The sequence below is a fragment of the Homo sapiens genome, chromosome 8 (assembly GCF_000001405.40).
Source record: "Homo sapiens chromosome 8, GRCh38.p14 Primary Assembly".
Taxonomy (NCBI): Eukaryota; Metazoa; Chordata; class Mammalia; order Primates; family Hominidae; genus Homo; species Homo sapiens.
In genome coordinates, this window is record NC_000008.11 from 85,884,274 (window position 1) to 85,909,714 (window position 25,441).

Consider the following 25,441-nt stretch of genomic DNA (forward strand, 5'->3'; position numbering starts at 1 on the left):
ACTAATTTCAAAATCCAGTGAGAATCTGTTGACCTTTTTTATAAACATTCACGTTTGAGTAAAATCTTTCCTGCCTCTTTTCCATTGAATGGCCTGAGTGGATGTTTAGCAGCAGGAATAAAGGAAAGAATTATGAGCTACAAATATCACTATCTGCTCTTGTGACAGTACAAACAACAAGAATAATCTGTCCTGTGTGTTTTATTCCCATTTAAAAGAAAACAATTAGCTTCTATATTCTGCTGGAGCTCTGACAGTCTCATGAATGAACCTTTGTCCTTCCCTGGCTATTGTTTGGTTTGTACATATGCATCCTGGAGCTTTGTAACCAAATATGGAGGGTGTAGTGATCATGAAAATTAACAATAGATGTAAAGACTAGAATCTGACAACACTGACAAAGAACAAAAGACAACATATTATCTATTGTAATTTCTAGATGGGGAAAACAAGACAAAATTGTAGCTTATTAGGATCTGGTCCTCATTGAACTTGGGATTTAAAGTAAAACAAAAACAAACTGTTTGTAAATTATTGTTTGATTTCCTCCTTTATCAGACAAAGAGTTTTAACTTTGGAAGAAAGGCTATGCTGATGACACAGTAAAAATTATAGGTGATTGATCGCCAGTTTGGCAATCCCCAAATCTACTTGTATACTTTTCTGCTCCTTATCACCCATCTCTTAAACTTCCATTGGGTGTTAAATGGCCTTTTTAAGAGTAACCCCAATGAGACACGGGAACCTATGTCTCCATGCCCCAGATAACCCAAGGGACTAGCTGGAGATTTGGAGAGATTTACTGGAAATATCAGCCCCAAACCTATGTAGTGCTTTTCAACTCCAAAGAGAGATTTAAAGCCACATATGGAAGCCTCAAGGGAGAGCATGACTTTTGAAGAGCAGAGACTGGCCTCATGAAAGTTTAGAAATGGCCCCTTTAATTCTTTGGCACCTAGACAAGTGAATCAAACAAGGGTTCCCAATCGTCCCTTCAGTTCCCTCTACCTCTCACCACATTGGCCTCCTCCTCTCCACTCTCACCACTACTGTTAAGATTCTTGTGATCTCGTCCAAGAATTATTTTCATATCCCTACTTACTGTGTGACTCTGGGTGATACAGGAATTACTATTAAACAGTTTCCTTCTTTTCACAATGGAGTTAAATTTAGAATCTACCTCAAAGGAGTGATGCCTAGATTAAATTATATAAAAATGCTAAATCTAGCACATAATCAATAAATGTTTGGTAACACAATAGAAATCAATACTTCTAAGGCATAGTTTCCACATCCTTGATTTCATAAAAAGAATGCAAGTTTCAATGTTTTAGATTACCATAAAAGACAGTGATTCGTTTGTTGCTGACACAAACAACATCTATTTCCTCCCAAACAAAAGTTGGATCATGCTGGAGTAGCACAGAAGCACAAGAGAAGCACATGATCCAGTAATTGTGTGGTAAGGAAGATTTTGAGTAGTGACTTCTGGTCATTTGAAGAGCTCTAATCACAGGCTTTAGATGTTCACAGAACAATCATCAAGAGGCCATTTACTGAAAAGGACATCTGTCCTGGAAAATAGAAACTTCATTTATAATATTGTTTCTACTAATGAGGATTATGTCAAGACTGATAAGAGTTTTTATATCTGTTTGCAGAGTTCAAGATTTCAACATTTTAAGATAATCTGAAAAAAATTGGAATGTGCCCCCAGCTGCGTGAGTAACTAAAGATAACAGTAACCAAGTCTCATTGGATGACCCAGTTCAGCTAAAAGCTTCTCTTACAGATGATGCTATATTCTTGAGAGGAGCTTAGAGTGACTGTGTGGTTCACAAACTGTGCAAATCAAAATGTAAATTCTTAGCTTATCTAATAATTGATTTATTGTGTAAGGTACAATAAATGGTTTAACCACTCTGAAATTTATTTTCAAAATAAAATGAACTCTAGATGTATTCCTAACAGATGCAGAGAAACTCACACTAGGATGCCTTGAGGTTTTCTGAGATGTTTATTTATCCTTTGTTTCAATAGTGAGAACTAATTAGAATAAAATAAAATTAATGAGAGCTAATTAGAATAAAGATAAGATTGATTATTTCTACTTCCAGTTAAAACTAAAGATGCAGAATCAATTTTATGGAAAAAAAGGTTGCCAGGTTTTACTAAATTCAAGGCTGTTTTTTTCCCTCTATTTGTTTAGGATAAACATAGGCTTCTTCCTGCATGTCAATACAATACTACATTTGGCAAGTGTCTCCTGTTTCCAGATGATCCCGGCAGTTCATTGTTCGGGATATTGATTTTAATTAGCACAAGTGGATCAGCAGCTCTCACTTCAGTTGATCTGAAAATCAACATCTCTAGATGCTTTTCCTCTGCTCTTCCTTCCTTCAGAAGAGGAAACGCAGTTTTTCATGTTTGAAAATCAATAGAATAATTGCAGGCCAATAACTCTATGCCAGCAGAACTCATCTGTGAACAACCAAAAGAAAGAAGCCAAAAGAATGGTTGATTCATTTTTGTTGTAATATACAATTACTTAGAGCACTGTTCCTATAGAGGAGATCTAGTCAGAAAAGAATTAAATCACTCCTTCCAACAAAATTGCTTATGCAGGTAAATAGAAACCAAAAGTCAGTGTATGATAAAGAAGAAAGCTACCATTTGAGGAAGAAAAGCCCAGGTAGTGGGTCTGAGAAGTTACAAACATTTAGTACTGCCAGCAACATCAGTTGGCTCTCTTGGTAGTTTTCCACGGAGGTTTTACATTCAGCTTTTGCCTACTGACATGACCTGAACTTGCCTTGAATTTCCTTTCACTGAGCACTGGGGATTACATATTTTTCCAAATGCAACGGTCTAAATATTAAGTAAATTTCAAACTTCAGATGAAAATTTTTAGAAGGGTAGGTGGAACCTATTTTGAAGGTCTCTTTTAATCTTCCAATTAATTTCATGAGTTTATTGCTTAGAACTTGATCCTAGAGATTATCTTGTAAAAAGCTTATAATTTTCTTTCTAGGATAAGAGAATCTCTCAGGAGGCTGAATTTAATAAATTATGTTGTCGAAATGTCATCAATAAGCAAACACCAATTCAATGTCTTTCTAATCAAACTCATAGCAATAGCAGAATGGTGGTTTCTAGGAACAAGAAAAGGTAGGGAGTTGATAAGTAGATGTAAAGTTTCAGTTATGCAGAATGGGCGTGGGAAGAGCTTTTAGAAATCTGTTGCACAAAAATGTGCATATGGTTCTATCCAAGTCTCTGTGTGTGTGTGTGTGTGTGTGCATATGTGTTTGTAAAAATTTTTTGGTCAGTGACTTAAATGAGGACAGAAATACTATGTTTGGCAAACTGACAAACTTACTGAATAAGTGGTCATTGTGATAACATGAAGGCAGAGGAAAAAATACGTTAAAAATGGCTTTAAAGTTATGATAAACAGATCTAACAAGACAAAATGTAATAAACTAAATATTTATCAAATATAAACACATAAACATAAGCAAAATACAAAATATATTTCTATATTTTATGCAATATGGTTATATAATATATAAATAATGTGTAAATGTTATATATTAATAAAATAACATAAAAATAATACATAAATATATAATCAAGCATAAAAATGTAAATATATAAAGACAAAATCCTTCCCATCAACAATCCCAGGTTCAGGATAGATGCTTATGGCTAAGTAGTCCTTATGTGAAAAGCAATCTGATTTTGTAGTTGCCATCAAAACTTATATGAGTAATGTGATGAGGCTGGGCCAATAATTAATGAGCTGAGCTACACACATAAAATTTTAGAGTCCAGAACAAGGAAATAATTTTTTTTTCTCGCACTGAATTATGTACATGCTAGAGGACCACTGAATTTGTATGTACATTTCAGGGAGACATACCTACAAGGATGTTTGGCAAACTTTAATATTAAAAAGACAGAGAAACAGAAAAATGTAGATGATTTGGTGTGAAGAAGTAAGCCTTCAAAATTAAAAGATATACTTGAGAGACTTTCTTAAAGATCACTGGGTTTGTAAATGCTGAGAATTAGATAAATTCCTTTGCAGTTCTATAGAACAGAATGGAAATAAAAAGTATAAAATTATATCAGCAAATAGATGCTATGGTTCTATCTACATCACCAGTTTTGGCAAAGAAGAGGTGCTATGGTTTGAATGTGTCCCCCAAAAAGCATGTTTTTGAAATGTAATCCCCAATGCCACAGGGTTGGGAGGTGTGTTTTTGAAACTTAATCCCCAATGCCACCCTAATGGAAGGTGTTTAGATCAAGAGGACTCCATCCTCATGAAAAGATTAATGCTAACTATAAAAGGGCTTGAGGCTTCAACTTCTATCTCTTACTCTCCCTTTCCTTCTCTTTGCCCTTCTACCATGTGATGATGCAGCAGGAAGGTCCTTAGTAGATGCCAGCCCCTCAATCTTGGACTTTCCAGCCCCCAGAACCAATAAATCTCTGTTCATTATCAATTATCAAGTCTCAGTTGTTCTGTTGTAGCACCACAAAATGGACTAAGACAAAAAGAAAAGGTTTATGTAAGAGATGTACAGTGCCTGACACCTGAAAGCCACTCAATGCATGGTAGTAGCTATTGTTGTTATTATAATCACTTTGTTTATTTGAGGAAAGGGGGTGAGTATTATCTCTCAGACCCTTCTCATCAATTCTCTTACTTCTCTGAACATAAATTTAATATGATTAAGGCTTCTTCAATTAATTGTTTATATATATATAATTCTTAAATTCATATTGTATGGCAATGAAGTAGATGAAGACAATTGTTTAGAAAGCCAATAAGAATAAAATTTACTGCTGCAACTATGGTAATCACAGAACTTTTCCCAATGATATTTGTCCCAAGATACACTGCTCCTTATTCACTTGTCCATTAGAGACTCTAGCTGAAAAGCAATTAATCAGATTTTTTCAGATGAGAAGTTCTATTTTCATTATTCCTGTATTCCTGAATTTATTTTTGGGAGCTATTTTAGACATTTTAAATTGAAGTTTCTTTATTAAACTAAATACTTGACAAGCCAGCACAAAGCAAATTTGTCATGTTTGTTTATGGAACCTAGTAATACTGGGACTCTGGTGGCTATGTATTTCTGATGGAAAAGATAACTGAACCATTCTACAATTGGGTAGTAAATGATTATAATAGTTTTATCATCCTGTAATAATTGCCTTGTATTAAAGTGTTTCCTGAGTCATTAAATCTCAAGGATATCTATTTGGTCATGTTTTCTTGTGGTATTTCAAGGCTACTGGTGACTTCTTCAACAGTTGAGAAACTGAACTATGTGTTCATGAAAATACTCCATCATTAAAGTTTATGGTAAGTCTGATACCTATCTAAATAATAAGCAAACTTTAAAAGACACTATCTTTTAATAGTATGATTTATCATCATCCTCATCATTGATATCATCATTATTAAAAGAGAAATAATTATAAATGACCAAAACTTTTCTCATAATTACTATTCAGTTTATACTAATTCCAACCTCAAATTATATCTCTAAAAATCTGTAGGATGTTGTAAGAAGTTAAAACAGTTGCCTATAGCACATAAATGCTCTTCTCTACTTTGCTTTTTTCCTCTTTTATCTCTACATCCTTCCTCCTTGGAGTTTTTTCCTCTCAATTTATTCACTCATTTTTGTCTCCAACATTGCTTTTTCTCTCCAATTTTATGAATGAAAATCCAAAGAAAAGCCTTAGTTTATATCTGAAATATCTACATACAGTATAAAGAGAAACATATTTGCTTTTTGTCCTTAGAGCTCTTAAAATCCTTGGAAATGAAGATTCAGGAAGCTTCCTGGTTGGTGAACACACCAAAGTTTAGGAGGGTGGTTCCCCCAGAAATAACACAGAAACACTACACCCTACCCCCATACCTTGTTCTATGAATCTTTTTCATTTTGCTATTCTTCAGTTGTATCCTTTCCTGAGGTCTGTCAGCCATTCTAATGAAGCATCAGACCTGAGGAGGGAGTTATGGGAACCCCTGATTTAGAGCCAGTTGGTCAGAAGTACATGTGGCCCAAGACTTGGAACTGCTGTTTGAAGGAGAGGCAGCCTTGTGAGACTGAGTCCTTTAACTTGTGTCTGACACTAAATCCAGGTAGATAGTATCAGCATTGAATTGAATTTGTAGACACCCAGTTGGTGTCAGAGAATTGGAGAACTGATTGATGTTAGAAAACACCATACTACAGATTTTTTTAAAATTAGCAGATGATTAGATAACTACCTGTGATAATTATATCCTTGCTTATTAATAAGGCATTCAAAAGCTACTTACAATTGCATTTTGTATTCTAGGGCTGACTTTTGCTCACTCTTTAAATGACTTAAAAGTAGGACAGGTAGACAATTCTGATGTAATCTTCTTTCTTAAAGACCATTGGATTTGTAAATGCCAACCAAGCAATATTAAGACATTTTATGTAGGGCCAGGCATGGTGGTTCATGCCTTAATCCCAGCACTTTGGGAGGCCAAGGCAGGTGGATCACCTGAGGTCAGGAGTTTGAGATCAGCCTGACCAACATGGAGAAACCCTGTCTCTAAAATTAGCTGGGTATAGTGGTGCATTCCTGTAATCCCAGCTACTCAGGAGGCTGAGGCAGAAGAATCGCTTGAACCTGGGAGACGGAGGTTGCACTGAGCCGAGATCACACCATTGCACTCCAGCTTGAGCAACTAGAGCAAAACTCCATCTCAAAAAAAAAGACATTTTATGTAAAGTTTATTATAATAGTTATTATATTACACATATGCAATATGTATTTATTATTGCCCTTGTGGAGAGAAAAATCTCAAATTACAAGTAAAGATTCAATTCTTTACTTGGGGGCAGCACCAGGTAGCAAACTGTATGTCTTAGATAAAATTGAATTAACTGTAAGAGGACTCTGCTTGTTTAAAAAAGGAACATATATATATATATATATATATATATATATATATATATAAATTTTAAAACATCTATATGTGGGTGAGAATTACATTATGGATGATTTATTTACACACCAAAACTATATTGGCTTCTTTTATAAAACAATATAAATTTTTTTCCAATGGTCGATAAAACTCAAATGCCTTTAGGGGCCAGACAAATAACAGGCTACAATAGCAACAAGAGAGATAAAATCATAAAGAACAAACATTAAGAAAGTAGTATACATGAAGATTTCAATTATAAATTATCAGTCTATGAAAATAAGAACTGCAAACAAATCATGATCTCTTAGAAAATTTGTTTTCCATAATGTACAGTAATAGAAGTTATCGTTAATTTTGTTGTTGAATTGAGCAACTTAAAAGAGGGATTAAAAACAAGGAAAAGCATTGTACATTGAGAACTACAAATCATTACTGAAAGAAATTAAGAAGTTCATAAATAAGTGGAAATACATCTCATGTTCATGGGTTTGAAGACTTAATATCATTAAGATGTCAATACTACCAAAGCAATTGACAGATTCAGTGCAATCCCTATCAAAATCTCAATGATGTTTCTGCAGAAATAGAAAAATGTAGCCTAAAATTCATATGGAATCACAAGGGACCTTGAATAGCCAAAACAATCTTGAAAAAGAAGAAAAAAGTGAGAGGACTCATACTTCCTGATTTTGAAACATATTACAAGTCTACAGTAATCAAAATAGTGTGATACTAGCATAAGAGAGATATATAGATGAAACAAAATATAGGACCCAGAAATAAACACTCCTATATATGATCAAATTATTTTTCACAAGGGTGCCAAGACCAGTCAATGGGGAAAGGACAGTCTTTTCACAAATGGTGCTGGGAAAACTGGGCATTCACCTGCAAAAGAATGAAGTTGCACCCTTAACTGACATCACATACAAAAATTAATTCAAAATGGATCAAATACATAAATGTAAGACCTAAAACTATAACACTCTTAGAAGAAAACATAGGGGGAAATTGTCACAACATTGGATTTGGCAATAATTTCTATGACATCAATAGCATATGCAACAAAGAAAAATTAGACAGTTGGACTTTATGAAAATTTTAAAAATTGTGCATCAAAAGACAGTATCAACAGAGTAAAAAAGCAACCCACAATGGGAAAAACTGCAAATTACATATCTGATATGAGATTAATATTCAGAATATAGAGAGAACTCCAAAACTCAACAAGAAAAAACAAACATCCCAATTCAAAAATAAGCAAAGGGCTTGAATAGACATTTCTCCATAGAAATGTACAAATGGCCAATAAGCACATGAAAAGATGCTCAGCATCACTAATCATTAGGGAACTGCAGATCAAAACTACAATAGGATACCACATTATACCCATTAGAATGGCTACAATTTAAAAAAAAAGAAAATAACAAGTGTTGGCAAGAATGTAGAGAAAATGGAATGCTTGTGCATTGTTGGTGGGAATGTAAAGTGGTGCAGTCCTTCTGAAAAACAATATGCTTACACCTGTAATCCCAGAGCTCTGGGGGCCGAGGTAGGAGGATCACTGGAGCCCAGGAGTTCAAGACTAGCCCGAACTGAACTGTATACTCATAAGTGGTCAAGATGGTAAATTTTATGTTATATGTATTTTATAATAATTTTTAAAATGGGAAAAAAGGAAAATTTTAAAAACAAACCTTTGAATAAAAATTAATCCATAAATTCATATTGATAAGAAAGAAAGAGAGGGACAGTAAGGAAAGGAGGGAGGGACAGAGGAAAGAAGGAGGGAAGAAAGAAAGGAAGGAAAGGAGAGAATAAGGGAGGGAGGGGGGTGAGAGGGAGGAAGGAAAGAAAGGTGGAAAGAAAGAAGAAAGTTAATTTCTTTCTTACAGTATGGTGCTGATTAATACAGAGACAGAACAATGAACTTAGAAAATAATCTGTTTACATCCATCATCAGAAAAATGATTTAGGCAAGAATCATTGATGGATGCTAAATCAAAGTAGGGAAAGGCATTGAACAAGAATCAGGATGTCTACAGTCTCAAAGTATCTCTCGCTAATTATTTAATAATGACAGAGGGAAAATAGCAACAATACAGTGGAGAAAATAGGCAAAACCTTCACCAAGTGATGAAAATTAACACCACCAAGGAAAGGCAGATGGGCATCTTGTGCTGCCAGAAAGACACAACATCTGTTATAGAGTATTCCAGCCAAGAATGCATAACCTAAATCTGGTTATGAGGAAACATTTGAAAAATCCAAACTAAATGACATTCTATAAAATAACTGGCCTGCATGCTTCAAATATGTCATCGATATAGCAAACAAACAAACAAAAACCAAAGTAAGGCTGAGGGTCTGGTTCGGATTGAAGAAACTAAACAGTCATGACAACTAAATGCGAAATACGTTCTTGGACTAGGTTATGTATTGGTGGAAATTGCTCTAAGAAATATTATTTGAACTAGGGGATGAAAGTAGAATATGGAATATAGATAAGATAAATGTATCAATGTCAAATTCTCTAAATGTAAGTATTGTATTGAAGTTATGAATTTTAATTGTTCTGGGAAATATGTAAAGACTGAAATATTAAGAAGTAAGGGGCAATAATGTATGCAATCTACTGTCAAATAGTTTTAAAGAACCGTGTGTGTGTGTGTGTGTGTGTGTGTGTGTGTGCGCCTGGAGAGACAGAGAGAATGACAAAGCAAATGTGACAAAATGTGTAAACATTGGTGAGTCTAGGTAAAGCATGTATAGATGTTCTCATTTCAAATTTTCAAAATTAAAAATTAGATTTCAGAATTTTTTAATTCTGAAGAAATTGTGTGGGGTAAATGGATGAAAACAATCTGTAAGTCTAATTCTATCCATGGGCTGCCAGTTTGCAGCCTCAGGTTTAAAACATCATTTGACTTCCCTGAAATAGCTAAGGAAATCATTAAAAAACAAACCAAAAAACCCACCCATTTGCAATGAAACAGAAATCAATGAAAATAAAAAGCTTTTAAAGTTTCCCACCTCAAGGCTGTTGTCTGGGGTGTGATTTCTTCCTAAAAATTAATTTTGAAAAGGATAAAGGAGGGAAATTTCCAAACAACACAATATTGTTTTGTAAAAATTTCAACTTAAGTCAAAGGAGTGAGGTTTGTGAAGGGTCCTGAGAGTCAGATTATCCTCCCATCCAGATCCTCTCCTCTTATCATGGTGCAGGAGCATTGTTTTATCAGGTGGACTGGAGAGTAAGAAGTTACACCAGATGACAGTTTTCCAGATAACAAGCTTTCACTTTAAATTCTCTTTCTAAAATTTTATTTTTTTCTAAAATACTTCCTATCATTAGGGTATACTTTCATCAATCTTCTTTCCATCATGTTTCAGCTAACGTTATTTGTTTTATTCGTCAGTGCCATAACACAGGACTTATGTTCAATTTGCTGGTAGAATCTTGTTAAAAGGCAGGAACGTCATAGGTTAAAAAAAAAAAAACTATGGGCTTCCCATAGAAATATAGATGGATTCTCCAGACCAGGTTCTTCCACCAATACACTAGGAAAGCTTTGGTTAATCATTTAGATTCACCGGGATCTAGTTCATCTGTAGAAAAATTTAGCTAAATTATATCACCTCTGAGGTCCTTCCAGATCTAGTAAGCATCATCCATTCAGAAGCTGATTTGTTTTCATTCTCGAGACTGGACAAGAGGTAGGCATTTACAACAATGGTACTAGGCTTTATTTTTTCAGGTACTTTTGTTTCATTAATTTTTTAAATTGACAAATAAAAATTATATATATTTATGGTGTACTACATAATGTTTTGACCTATGTATACATTGCAGAATGGCCAAATCAAGCTAATTAACATAGCTATTATTTAACGTACTTATCAGTTTCTGTGGTGAGAATGTTTGAAATCTACTCTTAGTAAGTTTCAGGTATATAATACATTGTTATTAACTATAGTCACCATGTTGTATAATAGACTTCTGAACTGAAATTTCATATCTTTTGCAGTGGTCCCCAAGCTTTCGATTGTACTCTCCAACCCGGAAAAGGTGGAACATGGATCCCCAATATATGCATATTAATTGGCACATGATATCCATGTAATGTTCCACTAATAGGTAAATTGAGAAAGCACATTTAAAATAGACATTTAAAAAGAAAAATACAAAAAATAAATTATAAAGGAGACCCTAATACTTTTTTCCAGCACACAATGCATCTCCTTGCCCACTCTAATTTGCATACCACTGTTTGTAGAAAAATGTCTAAACCCCTTCACATGTCATCTAAGGCCAGTCACATTTTGTCCACAATTTACCTCCTAGCTTTCCTTCCCACCACGTTCCTCAAGCACTCTTCACTCTGGCCACCTAGGATGGCTCACCAGCCTCTGAGCAAATCAAGCATTGTCACACCTCCTTGTTTCAGGCCCTGCTTTCCCCTGTTTTTCTGTTGAGGGGGAAGACAAACATCACATATATCCTATGTAGTCCTTAAGACCTTCAACAAAGTTACTTCTTTTGTGAAGCCTTCCTCCCATTACAACTTATTCCTCCTCTCTCAAAATATGACAGGATAACAATGCAATATAGTTCACCAAATTAATTTATATAAGTTGTATTGTATACACAAATTAATTGAGTCTATGAACTCCTTCACAGCATTTTGGTGAGCGAAGATCAAAATTATCTTATTTTTATCTTTGCCTCATTCCCAGCACCTTGTACATGGCAAGGGCTCAATAAAATTTAATTTCTTTAGGGAAGTTGTACCCTAGAGTTGAACTCTTGCTTTCAACCTATCCCATTTCTTGTAAAGCTGTGAAGGCAGCTATCCACAGCAATGAAGATTACAGGTAAAACTAGTCCACAGACCTCTTATGTATCTAGAAGACTTGTTGAAGATAATGATTATGATGAAATTGTAATTCTTGATTTCTTCTTTTAGCAACATCTTGCAAAGTGGTGTTCAAAGAATGCTATTCCTGTGAGGTATAAAAGTAAATTAAATAAATAAATAAATAACTATATATATATATGTATATATATATATAAATAGTTATTCAATAGTTAACTATGCCTGCCTCATTTCATATTTAAATGGATCAACTAATAATACATTTCAGGAATGAAATATTACCATGAACTTATTTTTTTCCTAAACCATTTTTAGCTTTCCTGATTCATGGTGAATGTGACAGTGTCTATAGCACTGTCAGGGGACCAGATTAACCCAGGCAGCGGGTGGTAAGTCAGCACCTTGGAGTTTGTGGTTTATGCAAACAACCTCACTGACTTGAATGTGTAAAAATCAAAGAAATCCCACAGTCTTGGAGGTAATAGATGATGTTGTAGCAGGACACACACCAGAAAGGAGGCATTGCTTTTGTGGCTAAGACTTATGACCTCCCTATATATAAAAATAACCATGGTTCACCCTAGAGACTAATATAGTACTTGTTGGTTAACTGGGTACTAATCTAGTGGTAAAAGTAAGGTTGATTACCATTCAAGCAGTGGAAAGCCTAGACCAGGGTTTTTTTAACCATTTGTCTGCCAAGGACTTCTTTGAGAAGCTAAAGAGAAGAGCCATAAAATATTTTTAAAGATGAGTTATGCTCTTGGGAAAAATGTTGTCTCCTGGGATACCAGGCTAACAGGTTCTGGAGTGTTCTTTCTCTCCTGTGGTTTTATGATTTTCATGTGCAATTCATTATTTGTGTGTGTTGTGTTCTTTCAAAATCACTATTGGAAAGTTGAAAAACTTCTTAGAATTCCGACCATTCAGATAAGGTCCCCAAAAGCATTTTAGAGCAGAGATACTGAAGCCCAAGAATCCAAACTTCCTGGTAACTTTGGCAAAGCTTTTTTATATATAAATAATCAGAACATCTTGAATTAAATAAATTCAGGGTGAATTATATAAATTTCAACATATCTGTTTTTTTCAGTAAAATGAAGAATGCATAAATAAGGTTTTAATGTGTACTAGAATTTGATCTACTTTCTATATGCTAAACCTGGGCCCTCCTAAGTCACCATTTGTCAATAAGAAATCAATCATAGAGATCCTAATTATACAGCCTAAAGCAATAGAAATATTTTATGAATGATTCTATGTTTCAAAAACTCTTCTATAGAATAATATATTCACTTATTACTATATTTTCCTCTAAAAAGTAAGAAAGAAAGAAAAATTAAAAAAATAAAATAAATAAAAAGTAAGAAAGAAAAAGCTCAGGACACAAAATCTAGCAAAAGGATTAGATCAGCTGTAAGAATTCATCTGAGGGGACTATTAATAAGGAAGAAATATTTTTAAATTTTTGCTATTAGACCTCCAAATAGAATGGCAGATCTACCAACACTTAAACCTATGTAGAGTTCTGATTATTCCTCTTTTCTAAAGTACACACCTTAAATTATTAACTTTTAAGTTATTCATTATACCTTAAAAATTCAGTTGAGCATGTTCTCATAAAGCAAAAGGAATATTTCAGTCTGGTTTCAGCAAGATGTGATTTAGGGAACCTCTCAAAAAATGGTGGGGAGAAAAGGGATTCTAAGATATATAACTGGCTTCTCCTGAACCCAAAATACGGAGGAACTCTAACATCTCATCCAGTTTCTCTGTCTTCTTGTCTCCTTTGTGATATGCTGAAGGCTTTATAAACACAAGGTTGGAGTGTAGTCAGCCAAGGTTTCAAAGGGCAGGCTACTTCTTACTCTATTTTTCTTAGGACTTTGATCTTATCTCTTCTGCTTATGCCAAATCAAGCTTCTGTTGCCCCAACAGCTACCCCAGTTTAGGAGCTGAGGAGAACAACAACACTATTTTTATTGGAGAGACCCTGACTAGAGGGTGGGCATGGGAACAGGCAGGCTAAACTGCAGAGAGCAGGCTGAGTGAGCCACAGAGTGATGTACAGTCATCCCGTTTCAGAGAACTCCAGGGACCATCAGAATGAAGTCAGATTTCAGTGCAAAACTGTGTATTTGGCCACTGTTTCCATACAATAAGGTAAAAATTAATCATAGCAAATGGCTGCTTATTAATAAAACCAAATTATTAAAATGGTCTAAATTGTAATGCCTTCTTAGTCATTCAAATTGCCCTGGGTTAGACTTAAAATTGACACGCAGGTTTAGAAATGTAACTCTAGCTATCAGAAGGAAATGAGAAGAGATATTCTGTCATCTATTATTCTTTATAGGGGAAAACTGATTGATCCAAGGACAAACCTATCTCCATTACTTGGCCGGAATCTAAGAAGTAAACCTATGAGGATTATATATATTTATGTCCTAATCTGTCATGCCAACATAATCATGATGTGCCTTTATGATATTCTTCAGTCTCTCTTCCTCAATCTTCATATCTACTTGGTCACCAACATTTATTAATTCTACATTAGAAATTACTCTTGAATAAGGTTCCCGTTCCATCATCCCCTGTGTCACTAACTTTAATTTACTCTTGTGGGTCATCCATCTACAAGCTGCCAAGGTAATCATCCCAATAACCACAGGATAAATACACTCTCTTTGCACACAGGATAAAGCCCAACACCTTGGCAGCGTCTACAGGGCCCTTTGCAGTATAGCATCACTTAAACATCATCTAACCTCATTGTCACCAAGGCCCCCTGTATTATTTATACACATGAGGAGTCCTCATTCTTCCTCCAACATCCTTCTCAGACTTCCAGCTTGAGAGAGACATTTTCTTGGTCTTTCCTTGGTGAATTCCTAGTAATCTTTCAAGCACCAGTTCAAATGTTATATTCTCTAAAGTTTTCTTTGACCCACCCATCTGCCATCCTTACTCCCACAGGTACAATATCTGGGCTTCCTCTTCCTGCAACATTTTGCTTGCATCTCTTTTGGAATACTTAACACGTTTTTCCGCCATGGTACAACATAGAGGCCAACTTCAAAGTTGAGTCTGTGACACGTCGTTGTGTGACCTCATTCAAACCACTGTACTTCCCTGTACTTAATTTCTTCAACTGTAAAATGTAAATGAATATGGCTACTAAACAGAGCTGTTGTAACAGTTCAATAATGTATCAACACAGCTCCTGACCATGGTGAAAATTCAGCAAATAGAACTATAATTATTATTATGAATAATTGTTATTAATTATATATGTAAATACCTATATAAGGCTTATTAAAACTCTGTGAAGGTAAGAACTGTGGGTTTTTAACACAGTCTTTATCGCACATACACTTAAATTATGTTTTCTTGCTTTATCTCCTGGTTATTTGAATGGATTTTCTGTTTTCCAGTGTAACCCAGATGTAATATCCTTACCAGATTCTTGTCTCTGGCAAGCATACCTAATCTGAAATGGATTCACCGAAGCCCAGCTAAACCATGACCAAATACAGGTCCTGATAAGGAATATACTATCCAGCAACTACAGTGATTAAGTGTTGTGCTAAGAACATTTATTCTAAATATTTATAGGTCTTCTTTTTAAAAATAGCCTAAAGAATTTTGGGGAAGATGATAACAGTGGGTAGAGTGAGTGTTCAAATGTGTACATATCAAGAATATACATTATCATAGAATCACTTAAATATTTAAATTGTGTTTATATTGCTCATTCTCAGTAACTCTTTTAGATGCCATAAAACCTCTCTCAATCACCCAATGGAATTAAATTAATGGAGCTATTTTGCATACTTGGCTTGAACAGAATTTTAATGATAAATATCCCTTCTGTATTTTATATTTATATCATATTCAGGCTCCTAAAGAAATATGCCATTTCAGGAACTTTAGTTCCAACTTCCTAACAGTTCGTTGAAAGTGATATTAACTATATAACTGATGAATGACAATTAAAATTACACTGATAAAAGCAGAAAAAACCAGCAAGTCTTGCAGTTTTCCATTGATTTCTCTGTTGTGGCAGCATTTATTGACATGATAAAGCCCTCTTCCTGCATCATCCAGAATTCTCCACAATATTTTAAAATCAAATATATATATATATTTTAAATTACATATATATATTTGTATACCTACACACACATGGCTTATCTTGGCTAATCAGGCAACATTTTTCTAAATTCTAGCGCTTACAAGGTCATTACTGTCAGATTGGGGAGGTATGATAATAACTGATATGTATTAACTGCCCTGTACTATTAAAGGCACTTAGCATATACTCAAGCATTTTACACTTTAATGAAGGTCACAACTGCCCATTTTGTTTTCCTCAATAAGTTATATTTCTGGCCTCATACTGCCCAGTTCATTTAACGATTGTTGCCTCTAGCAAAAATTTCACTAGAAATATTTTTAGTAACTGGTGGCATCTGTCAATTACATTTCTTAGAACATAGGGTTTAGATGGACAATAATTTTCTGATTAACTAGAAATGAGTCAGAAGACCCCGATAAGCATTTCTGGAAATGAGCACTCCTGGCTGTCTTTGTGGTACGTGTGTTACCTGGATGGATACACTGAGATTCCCATTCACTGGAATCCGTAGCTCCCTGGTCCTGGACCAGGGGCACCGATGTAGGAGGTACGAGACCTGAGGCATCATCTTCCCTTCACTGCTGACTAGCTTTGAAACCTCTTGTCCATGTCTCTTCATATGGACTCAGTTCTCTCAGGTATAAATGTAAACTAAAAATGTCTGAAGGATACCATATTAGTCTCTAATATTTCAAGGTCTCTGATAATTCTAAAATCTAGGCTTTCTTTTATTTATTTGAAATCCAGAAAGTACATACTAGAGTTTTATTCAAAAAAGCAAATTTGGAGATATGTCCTAGATCTGGCACATATATATATATATATATTCTAACATATCTTTCTGTTTCTGCACCTAAAGTTACGATACATTTTTATTTATGTTCCCTTGCTCTTCCTGGAATATTTCATCTTCCACTCTTCTCCATTTTTATTCAGACCTTCCCCATTCTTCCTGATGATGTCCTATCTACCAGTCCTCATGTGGTCACAATGCAGTTATCATCTCTAAGCCAAAGAGTACTGATTACAATTTATTCTATAACATTAAATATGCAGTGTGTCATTGACTCTATTATATGCTGTGTGTCACTAATTCTAAGATGCATTTCTTATTGTAGTGTCTCTCAAATCAGGATGTATCTTAACAATCGATGACATATTGCAAATATAACTAACTGCTTTTCTTCTTAAGTGGCACAAAAAGAAAGAGTGTATATCATAATTTCTGGCATCTTGCAGTCAATGGAAATTAGTCTTACTAGTATTTGAAATGCTATCTTATTCACTAGACAGATCTTGTCTGTATATTTTACTTCTTCAACTTATATATAAGAATATATTTTTATATTTTCATACTCCTCAACCCCATATTAATAATGTTTTAGAAATTCATCAAGAATTTGATTAATAATTATAGAACTACCATGACTCAAGGAACCAGAGTCTGGACTTCTGAAGAAACATTCAATTATATTTGCCATAATGTATTTCTTGAGGTAGAGATATGGATCAATATATTTTAAGAATTTTCAGTGACGATTAAATTAAAAGAATTCATTTATTCTTTATCACTGAGATGTAACTAGATGTTTTTCTTTTTCTCATCATTTTTCAGGCTTTCCCAGAATCTTAAGGATGATAGGAATCTCTAACAGTGTTTTGGACATTCCATTTATCTGCACAGAACTTTATGCTAACCTGACGCAAAAAATAAGACAAATTTCTAAAAAATACTTTTCTCTGTAGTTTATATTTTTGTACTTTTTGTCATAGTGAGATTTTATTCTGAGATATCCTCCACGAGATGGTGGAAGTGTTGTTGTTCACTGAGTTTATAGCACTGCATAAACTGCCCGTCTCTCAACCAAATAAAGTCTACAATTAACAATGCAGAAATAGCACTAAACATTCATTTTCTTAGGATCTGGGCAATAATGGCATACCTTTAAAATCTCCACTTAAATGTATATCAAATAAATTTTAGAACCCAATATTAATTTTCAAAATCACACAGAGGTCGGTCACAGTGGCTCATGCCTGTAATCCCAGCTCTTTGGGAGGCCAAGGCGGGCAGATTACCTGAGGTCAGGAGTTTGAGACGAGCCTGGCCAACATGGCTAGACCCCACTTCTACTAAAAAAAAAAAACAAAAATTAGCTGAGTGTGGTGGCACATGCCTCTAATCTTAGCTACTTGGGAGGTTGAGGCACGAGAATCGCTTGAACCCAGGAGGCGGAGGTTGCAGTGAGCCGAGACGGCACCACTTCACTCCAGCCTGGGTGACAAAGTGAGACTCCATCTCAAAAAATAAAAATAAAAAATAAAAATATATCACACAGAACTGCATTTTTCTATGATTATTGCTGCCTCTAGCCTGACAGAATACAGCACTGTGTTTTACCTCTCTTCTGGGCCCGAAAAAGATTAATTTTATAAACAATTGTTAAGCACTGGCCACATGTGAGTACTCTGCCAGCACAGTTAAAATGCAAGAATAAATTACCTTCAAGACACCTACAGTCTAAAAAAGATGTACAAGAATGGGACCCCATCCACCTTCTGGGAACATCACAGTTGTTTGGGAGCAGTGTCACTGGAAACTCTTTTTAAGCATAAATGTTTATATTGATGCTGTGATGGGGAAGATATTATAGAAAACAGTATTTCATCCCCTTTACCTTAGGCAATAAAATAGCATAGATATTTTTAAAGGAACAAATGTCAGAAGAAATAAAGATATTAAAAAATCAATATCCATGTGGGGCTAAAGGCAAGTTTTTACAGATCAGAAATAGATGAATTTTCTGAGCTCAGAAAAACCAGGCACTCAGGCATTAAGTTCCAAGAAAAAGAACTCACTTCAGAACTCTGAGAAATGTGTTAGAAGAGTTGCAATCTGCTCTCTCCTTCATGCAGTCACAGAGATGCAGGAGGAGAATGTACATTTTTGACACAAAGACACTGCAGCCACATCACAGTCCAACTCTGGCTGGGCAAGATCTCACTGCTATCTCTGGGTGCAGGTGTCAGACTACCAGGCCGGTTACAATACCAGGGCACCTTTTGAACAGCTGGGACTGACAACACAGAGGGTTTCCAGGACACACACTTTTTTCTTTGGAAATGTTTAACTCGGGTACAGACTAATGAAAAGGAAATACACCTGGGAGTCATAAATAGTTTTAGAATGAGATCTAGTTGTTTAAATAATCTCGTTTTGTTTTGGAATTTGTACATGTGAATACTAACTACAAGGATAAGCAAAGTCAAATACATTCTGTATTACAGAATCTAGAAAAATAGGCCGCACAAATTTGGGCTGCAAAGATGTCCAGTGAGATACAATAACATTAAGAAACTGTTAGGTTAAAAACAAGTAAATAAAAATATTGATCATTTTAAAATTGCTATAAAGTTTATTCTAGTTCATCTGCTAACCAAACTATATTACCCTGAGTGTGTAAACTGGGTAAAGAAAATGAACCATTTGGGAGCTAACTGCCTAAATAGTGATTTTATTTAAAATTTTTCTCTTTTTAAAAATTCCTTTGATTAAAAAAATTTATGTAGCAATATAGCTACATTAATACAATAACATGGTTTCACAGGTGCAAACATAAGTTAAACTTATCAAACTGTACATTTTATGCTCAAGTATACATTAATAAATCTGCTAAAATGTCTATGTAGTTATCTATGATGTTATATTAATACAATGAGACAATATAGTGGATGCATATTATTTAAGGGATAACATTTTAGATATTTTAGAGAGAGACTGATACTAATACTTTAATAAAAATCTTTTTTTCTTTTTCTGAGACAAGGTCTCACTCTGTTGCCCAGGCTGGAGTACAGTAGTGTGATCACGGCTTACTGAAGCCTTAACTTCCCCAGCTCAGGTGATTCTCCCACCTCAGCCTCCCCAGTAGCTTGGACTACAGGCACGTGCCAACATACCTGTCTAATTTTTGTATTTTTGCAGAGACAGGGTTTCACCATGTTGCCCAGGCTGGTCTCACACTCCTGAGCTCAAGGAATCCACCCACCTTGGCCTCCCAAAGTTCTGGGATTACAGATGTGAGACGCTGTGCCTCGCCATTAATCATATATTTAAATCCATTTATTCAGGTATCCTTTTCTTCAGAAGTAGGAGAATTTATCGAATCAGCTGTGATGAAAGGGTAATAATATTAAGTGATCAGTCAAATTAAAGACAATTGTAATCCTGGTGAATAATGAAAATAACATTTTAGCTGCAATTGCTATATATCTGCAAATATTGCAAATCTGTATCTTGCTACATATGGGTAGAAAATGCTAGGCAGAAGTCAAAACCTGTAGATTAGAGAAGAAAATAATCTTCCTCCAAAAAACAGATACAATAAGTGGTAAGCATGGCACTTTATTTAAATCTTACCATATTTAATCCCAGCTCCCACATGTATCAGCTATCTGATAGTTGTGGGAAGAAAAATTTCTCTTAAATTATGAAAGTTTAATTTGTTACCTTCAATGACTTTTTGTTGAAGAGATTAGGGAAATTCTTAGACTCCCTCTCTTCTGAATTAATTTCCATAAGATCTTTTAGAATAGATAAACTTGAGAAGAAAAGACCAGAGGAAAGAATGTATAAATTTAGTTTCATTCTAACAGGAAATGACATTTGGCTATGAAGGATTGTCTTTGCTGGAGCTCTCCATCCTTTTGAAGTTTTGAATATCATAACAAACACCAGATAACCCAGTGTAACTAAGGGGGAATATACATGTAAACAGTTAATACATCTGTTTGAAATTTTGGACTGAACAGGAGATGAAAATAAAGCAGGAAAAAAGAATGAGAGTACCAGTGGGGGAAAACCACTTATTTCTGATTTTATGCACACACAAATACATATACATATATAAACAAAAATAATACTTATCATGTGGTTGATATACATACAGAAAAAGCAACCATGAAAATGTATATTTTATCTAAAGAGGTTGCAAGGCCTTCCCGCCTTGTCAAATTTTGTATAAAGGCTCAGTGAGACCACATTTGCTGAGGATAGTTCCTTGACAGCTGAGTAATAGAGCTTATTGGCAATGCCAAGACTTAATGGCCTTCAGTGAATAGTGCATACGCTGGCATCTGGCAGATTTAGAGCTGTGGTTATGTAAAGGGTGGGTCTTTCAGGAGGCAATATTATAGATAGGCCCCTCCTTAGATAGTCATAGTCCAAGAGAATAAAGGCAATGCAAACTCTTAATAGCAAAGTCTTTTAGTCTATAAAACTATTTAAGAGTACAAATGGTTTCATTTAAAATTCAACATCAAAACACTTAATCCTTGCATGTGTAAAGATGAAAGAAGTACCATTCTATTACAGTATTATATAATTAAAATAACTAACTGAGACATACTGTGGCTTGTAGTTTTCATGAAAGGTCCCTTGTTCCCACCACCATGAAATGACATTTTTTTAAAAAATTTAATATAGGCTGGGAGCAGTGGCTCATGCCTGTAATCCCAACACTTTGGGAGGCCAAGGCAGGCAAATTGCTTGAGGCCAGGAGTTGGAAACCAGCCTGGGTAACATGGCAAAACCCTGTCTCTACTAAAAATACAAAAATTAGCCAGGCATAGTGGTGCATGCCTGTAGTCCCAGCTACTGGGGAGGTTGAGGCGTGAGAGTTGCTTGAACCTGGGAAGCAGACATTGCAGTGAGCCAAGATCCCGCCACACTGCACTCCATCCTGGGTGACAGAGTGAGATTCTGTCTCAAAAAAACAAAAAACAAACAAACAAAATAACACCCAAAATAATAAAATGTATGGGCAATGTAGTTTGTGAAAATGACAGGTAAGGACACATACATAATAAGTTTAAAAATGATTTTGGATGATGACTACTCTAGCAGAAAGATACAACAATCGTGCTCTTTGAAGAATTAGTTTTAAACTTGTCTTCATCTTGGGGATTATTACTAATCATGGTGGATTATCCCAGGTTTTTTTGTCTCTCTTCATATACTTGGCAACTTGATTCTATCATAGGAAGAAATACGAGATGAAATTCAAGTCAAGCAATTTTTTAACCTAAGATATAACTTGGTAGGAAACCAGTACTTTAATTTGAGTGTCAATTATTGGTTATTATCTGAAGAGTCATTAAACTGCGGTGAAGCCAAGTATTGTCTCTGCAGAATCAGACCTATTTGCTCCAAATTATCACCTTCTTGCTTAATAATTATGTAACTTTGGGCCAATTGCTCAATTTTGCTACATTTCATTTTTTCATTGGTATAATATAAGAAGAATGCCTATTATAGAATTTTTGTGAGAATTAATATAGATAATATTTTCAAAACACAATCCCTGCCATATGTACGTACAACTCATGGTACTCACAGTTAGCTTTGCATTAGGAGCGGGTTAGTTTGCAACTGCATGGAGTGTAGTTTTCTTACCAACAACCATCAGGGTTGGTAAGAGAAGACTGTTGTACTGAAAAATAATATGAGGTAGCTAGAACTAGAAGGAATATTCAAAAGTCTGAGAATCCCCACCATCCATCCCTGGGAAATAAAATCCCTAGGAATCAGAGACAATTTGTCTTCCTAAAATGAGAATTCATTCAATGTTAAAGTCTAAGAGTTCAAGAGAAAAAAAAGCTTCAAAACAGACATCGTCCCTCTTCCCACTGTCTTCTCCTCCCAGGCCCCAGTGCTTTCTATCACTATAGTTTAGTTCGCATTTTCCAGAATTATATGTACCTGGAATCATATAGTATGTACCCTTTTTTGGTGGGGAGGTGCAGACCTACCCAGAGTCTTTCCCTAACTGCTGCCAGATGCTTAAAATTCCATTTTCAGTACATTACCCCTTGCAGTGGTTCTTAACCTTAGCTATGTCACAAATCCCCTCGAGACTGATAAATTCTATGAGCCATCTTCCCAGAGAAATAAATGAAGAGAAATCCATTCCCACAGAATGTGGCATATAATTTTAGGATATTCAGATGAGAGAATTTGGCTTACCTGAAAGCTTTTGTAGCTGTCAAATACATAACAAGACTGAGGATCTATCACAATAAAGCTGGAAAGGCAAGAGCAACCCAAGGCCCTGCAGAGCAGGGGGTTCATATGTTGGATGTTCACTAGAAGGATTGTATTTCTCCCTAGATTTTTTCTTTCTGTTTCTTTTTAGGGAGTACTGCACACAATAGAACCAACTTTTATCTTTTCTGTAATAGGAAAGTTGTCTTTTTTTTTTTTAATTTCTGTACCTGGTTTGTATGTATTTTGAGGGGGAAGCATTCTTGTTTTGCTTTTCTGCTTCCTTTTTTTTTTTTTTTCATTAGAGACAGGATCTCACTCTGTCACCCAGGCTGGAGAGCAGTGACATGATCACAGGTCACTGTAACCTAGAACTCCTAGGCTCAAGCAGTCCTCCAAACTCAGCCTCCCAAAATGCTGACATTAAAAAGTGTGAGCCACTGTGCTCAGCCTTGTGTTGCTTTTGAACACAGAAGCTAGCCTTGAATTAACTTTGGCTTTTAACTAAAATTCTGAGTTTTTGATACTACGTTTTCTCTCACTCAGAATTTTTTCTTATCCATTAAAAAAATAAGAAATTGTGAGGGCAATTTGATACTTACATCATTTTCAGTAGGTGAATTATACAGCCCTTAGTTCAATCATACTACTTAAATAGATTGCTTAGAGGGTTAACTAGCTAGGGCTTGGCTTAGATCATTGACTCCAGAAATGCTCCTTGTAACTATGGTCCAGGAGTATAATTTAAAGATCACATGTTAATATGATGTTAATGTGTGTATGTGTGTATGTGTATGTGTATTATATATAATATAAAGATGAACTCACCCAACCATTTATAGGCATAAAATACCTTATAAAATGATCTCCATCCATATCCATATGCAAAATAATCTATCAGATCAAAACATTATATATCTCAAAACATTTCTCTGAAGAAGTCATTTTATGCTTAGATGACAACTTTTTTTTTCTATTTTCCCTTTAGCAATACTCTCTCAACACTGTTTATCAAAGGAACCAATATGGAAGGAAAAACATTGCTTTGAAGGGAAGATGGATGGATCCCCTAGTAAACTACAGCTTGAGGTGCAATTTCCTAAAGTTCAAATGCCTGAAAAAGGAAACGAAAGAAAGAAACTCAACTCTTGAGACAGCTTCAATGCTAGCTTTGATCTCAATTATAGAGTTATTTATGAAAAGTGCATTTTTACAACTAAAAATAAATTAGGATCAAAAGCTTCTAGAGGCTATACTATGGAGTGCTTAATAAAAAGTTGAGTAAAGAGTAATGAATGGCTTTGTACTATTAATTTGAAAGAATTACCTTCTCTTTTAAACAGCTGCCAAGATAGTGAAGATTGACATGTCACAGGAAATTAAAACAAATGGTTTCTAGTCCTGTATGCCTTGGTGGGTAAACAGTAGGATAGAGCCCTTACCTGGGAAGCTGTGGGCTGGACTCTACCTCTAACTGTGTGCAACCATTAAAGGAGCAACCTTCAGCAAGTTTATTTAACTCTCTGGGCCTCAAATTACCTACTCCTAAAGTGCACGAGAAGAACTAGTTCTTCTCTGAAATTCTTCCTGTCTCCAATGGCCTGTTCCTTAGTTCCTGTTAACTAAGCATACTCACACTCTAATAAATACATGTAAAATCTTACCCCTTATAGAAATAGTTTTTTTAAAAAAAGAATAATCAGTTTTAAATTTAAATCATAGGTCTATTCACTCAATGGACATTGTTGGGATTCAGTGTAGAAAAAGCACAAAGGATGAACTTCCAGTCAACTTTCAGTATTTGCATAAACACGACACAATTGTAGATTATCAAGAAATAGTTTTTATCAGACTAAAATACTCTAATGAATGATTTCATAGTCTTTTGGCTGTTTAATTAAATTCAGTGAATAAATCATTTCTTATTCTCTAGGTAACAATGAAAAAACATCTCAGAATAGTATAGAACAGCAAAAGGAATTGAAAGATGGTGCTGAGGATGATAGATGATAGACAGACAGACAGACAGACAGACAGACAGATAGATAGATAGATAGATATTGATAGAGAGATAGATAAGACATATAGATAGAATCCACTATGTAGAAAATGTCTCCTGTGGATACTGGAAAGTAGCTACCTATCTCAGGGAAAACAATGGCAAACCCATGAATAAGCTGATAGCTTTGACTAATAGGATATCTTAGTTGCTGGGTTAAAATATGAGACTTGTGTTCAGATTACAGTATCTTTCATTTTTATAAGAGAACCTTTTTTTTTGAGAAAACATATGTCACGTTCACACAATCTGGAAATGAATATTCTTATTCCTACCCCAATCTCATTTTCTTTTCTAGTTTTTTTTTTTTTTTTTTCCTGTTCTTTGCAGC

At 34.9% G+C, this 25,441-nt stretch overlaps 1 long non-coding RNA gene across 1 annotated transcript, besides 2 other annotated features; it reads left to right on the top strand.

The window, feature by feature from the left end:
* Window positions 1–1,619: 1,619 nt before the first annotated feature.
* Window positions 1,620–24,343, top strand: LOC124901971 (uncharacterized). The gene is made up of 2 exons (XR_007060987.1): window positions 1,620–1,721; window positions 24,040–24,343. It is a non-coding gene; the product is annotated as an uncharacterized LOC124901971 (long non-coding RNA).
* Window positions 12,107–12,401: a silencer, noted in NCBI's record as "tiled region #4822; K562 Repressive DNase matched - State 6:EnhF". NCBI's record gives its function as "represses a minimal TATA promoter and a strong SV40 promoter by Sharpr-MPRA in K562 cells {active_cell/tissue: K562}" and the evidence as "EXISTENCE:reporter gene assay evidence [ECO:0000049][PMID:27701403]".
* Window positions 18,183–18,409: a silencer, noted in NCBI's record as "fragment chr8:86914685-86914911 (GRCh37/hg19 assembly coordinates)". NCBI's record gives its function as "represses an EF-1alpha promoter that drives an FKBP-Casp9 reporter gene in an ReSE screen in HepG2 liver carcinoma cells and K562 erythroleukemia cells {active_cell/tissue: HepG2 | K562}" and the evidence as "EXISTENCE:reporter gene assay evidence [ECO:0000049][PMID:32094911]".
* Window positions 24,344–25,441: the final 1,098 nt, after the last annotated feature.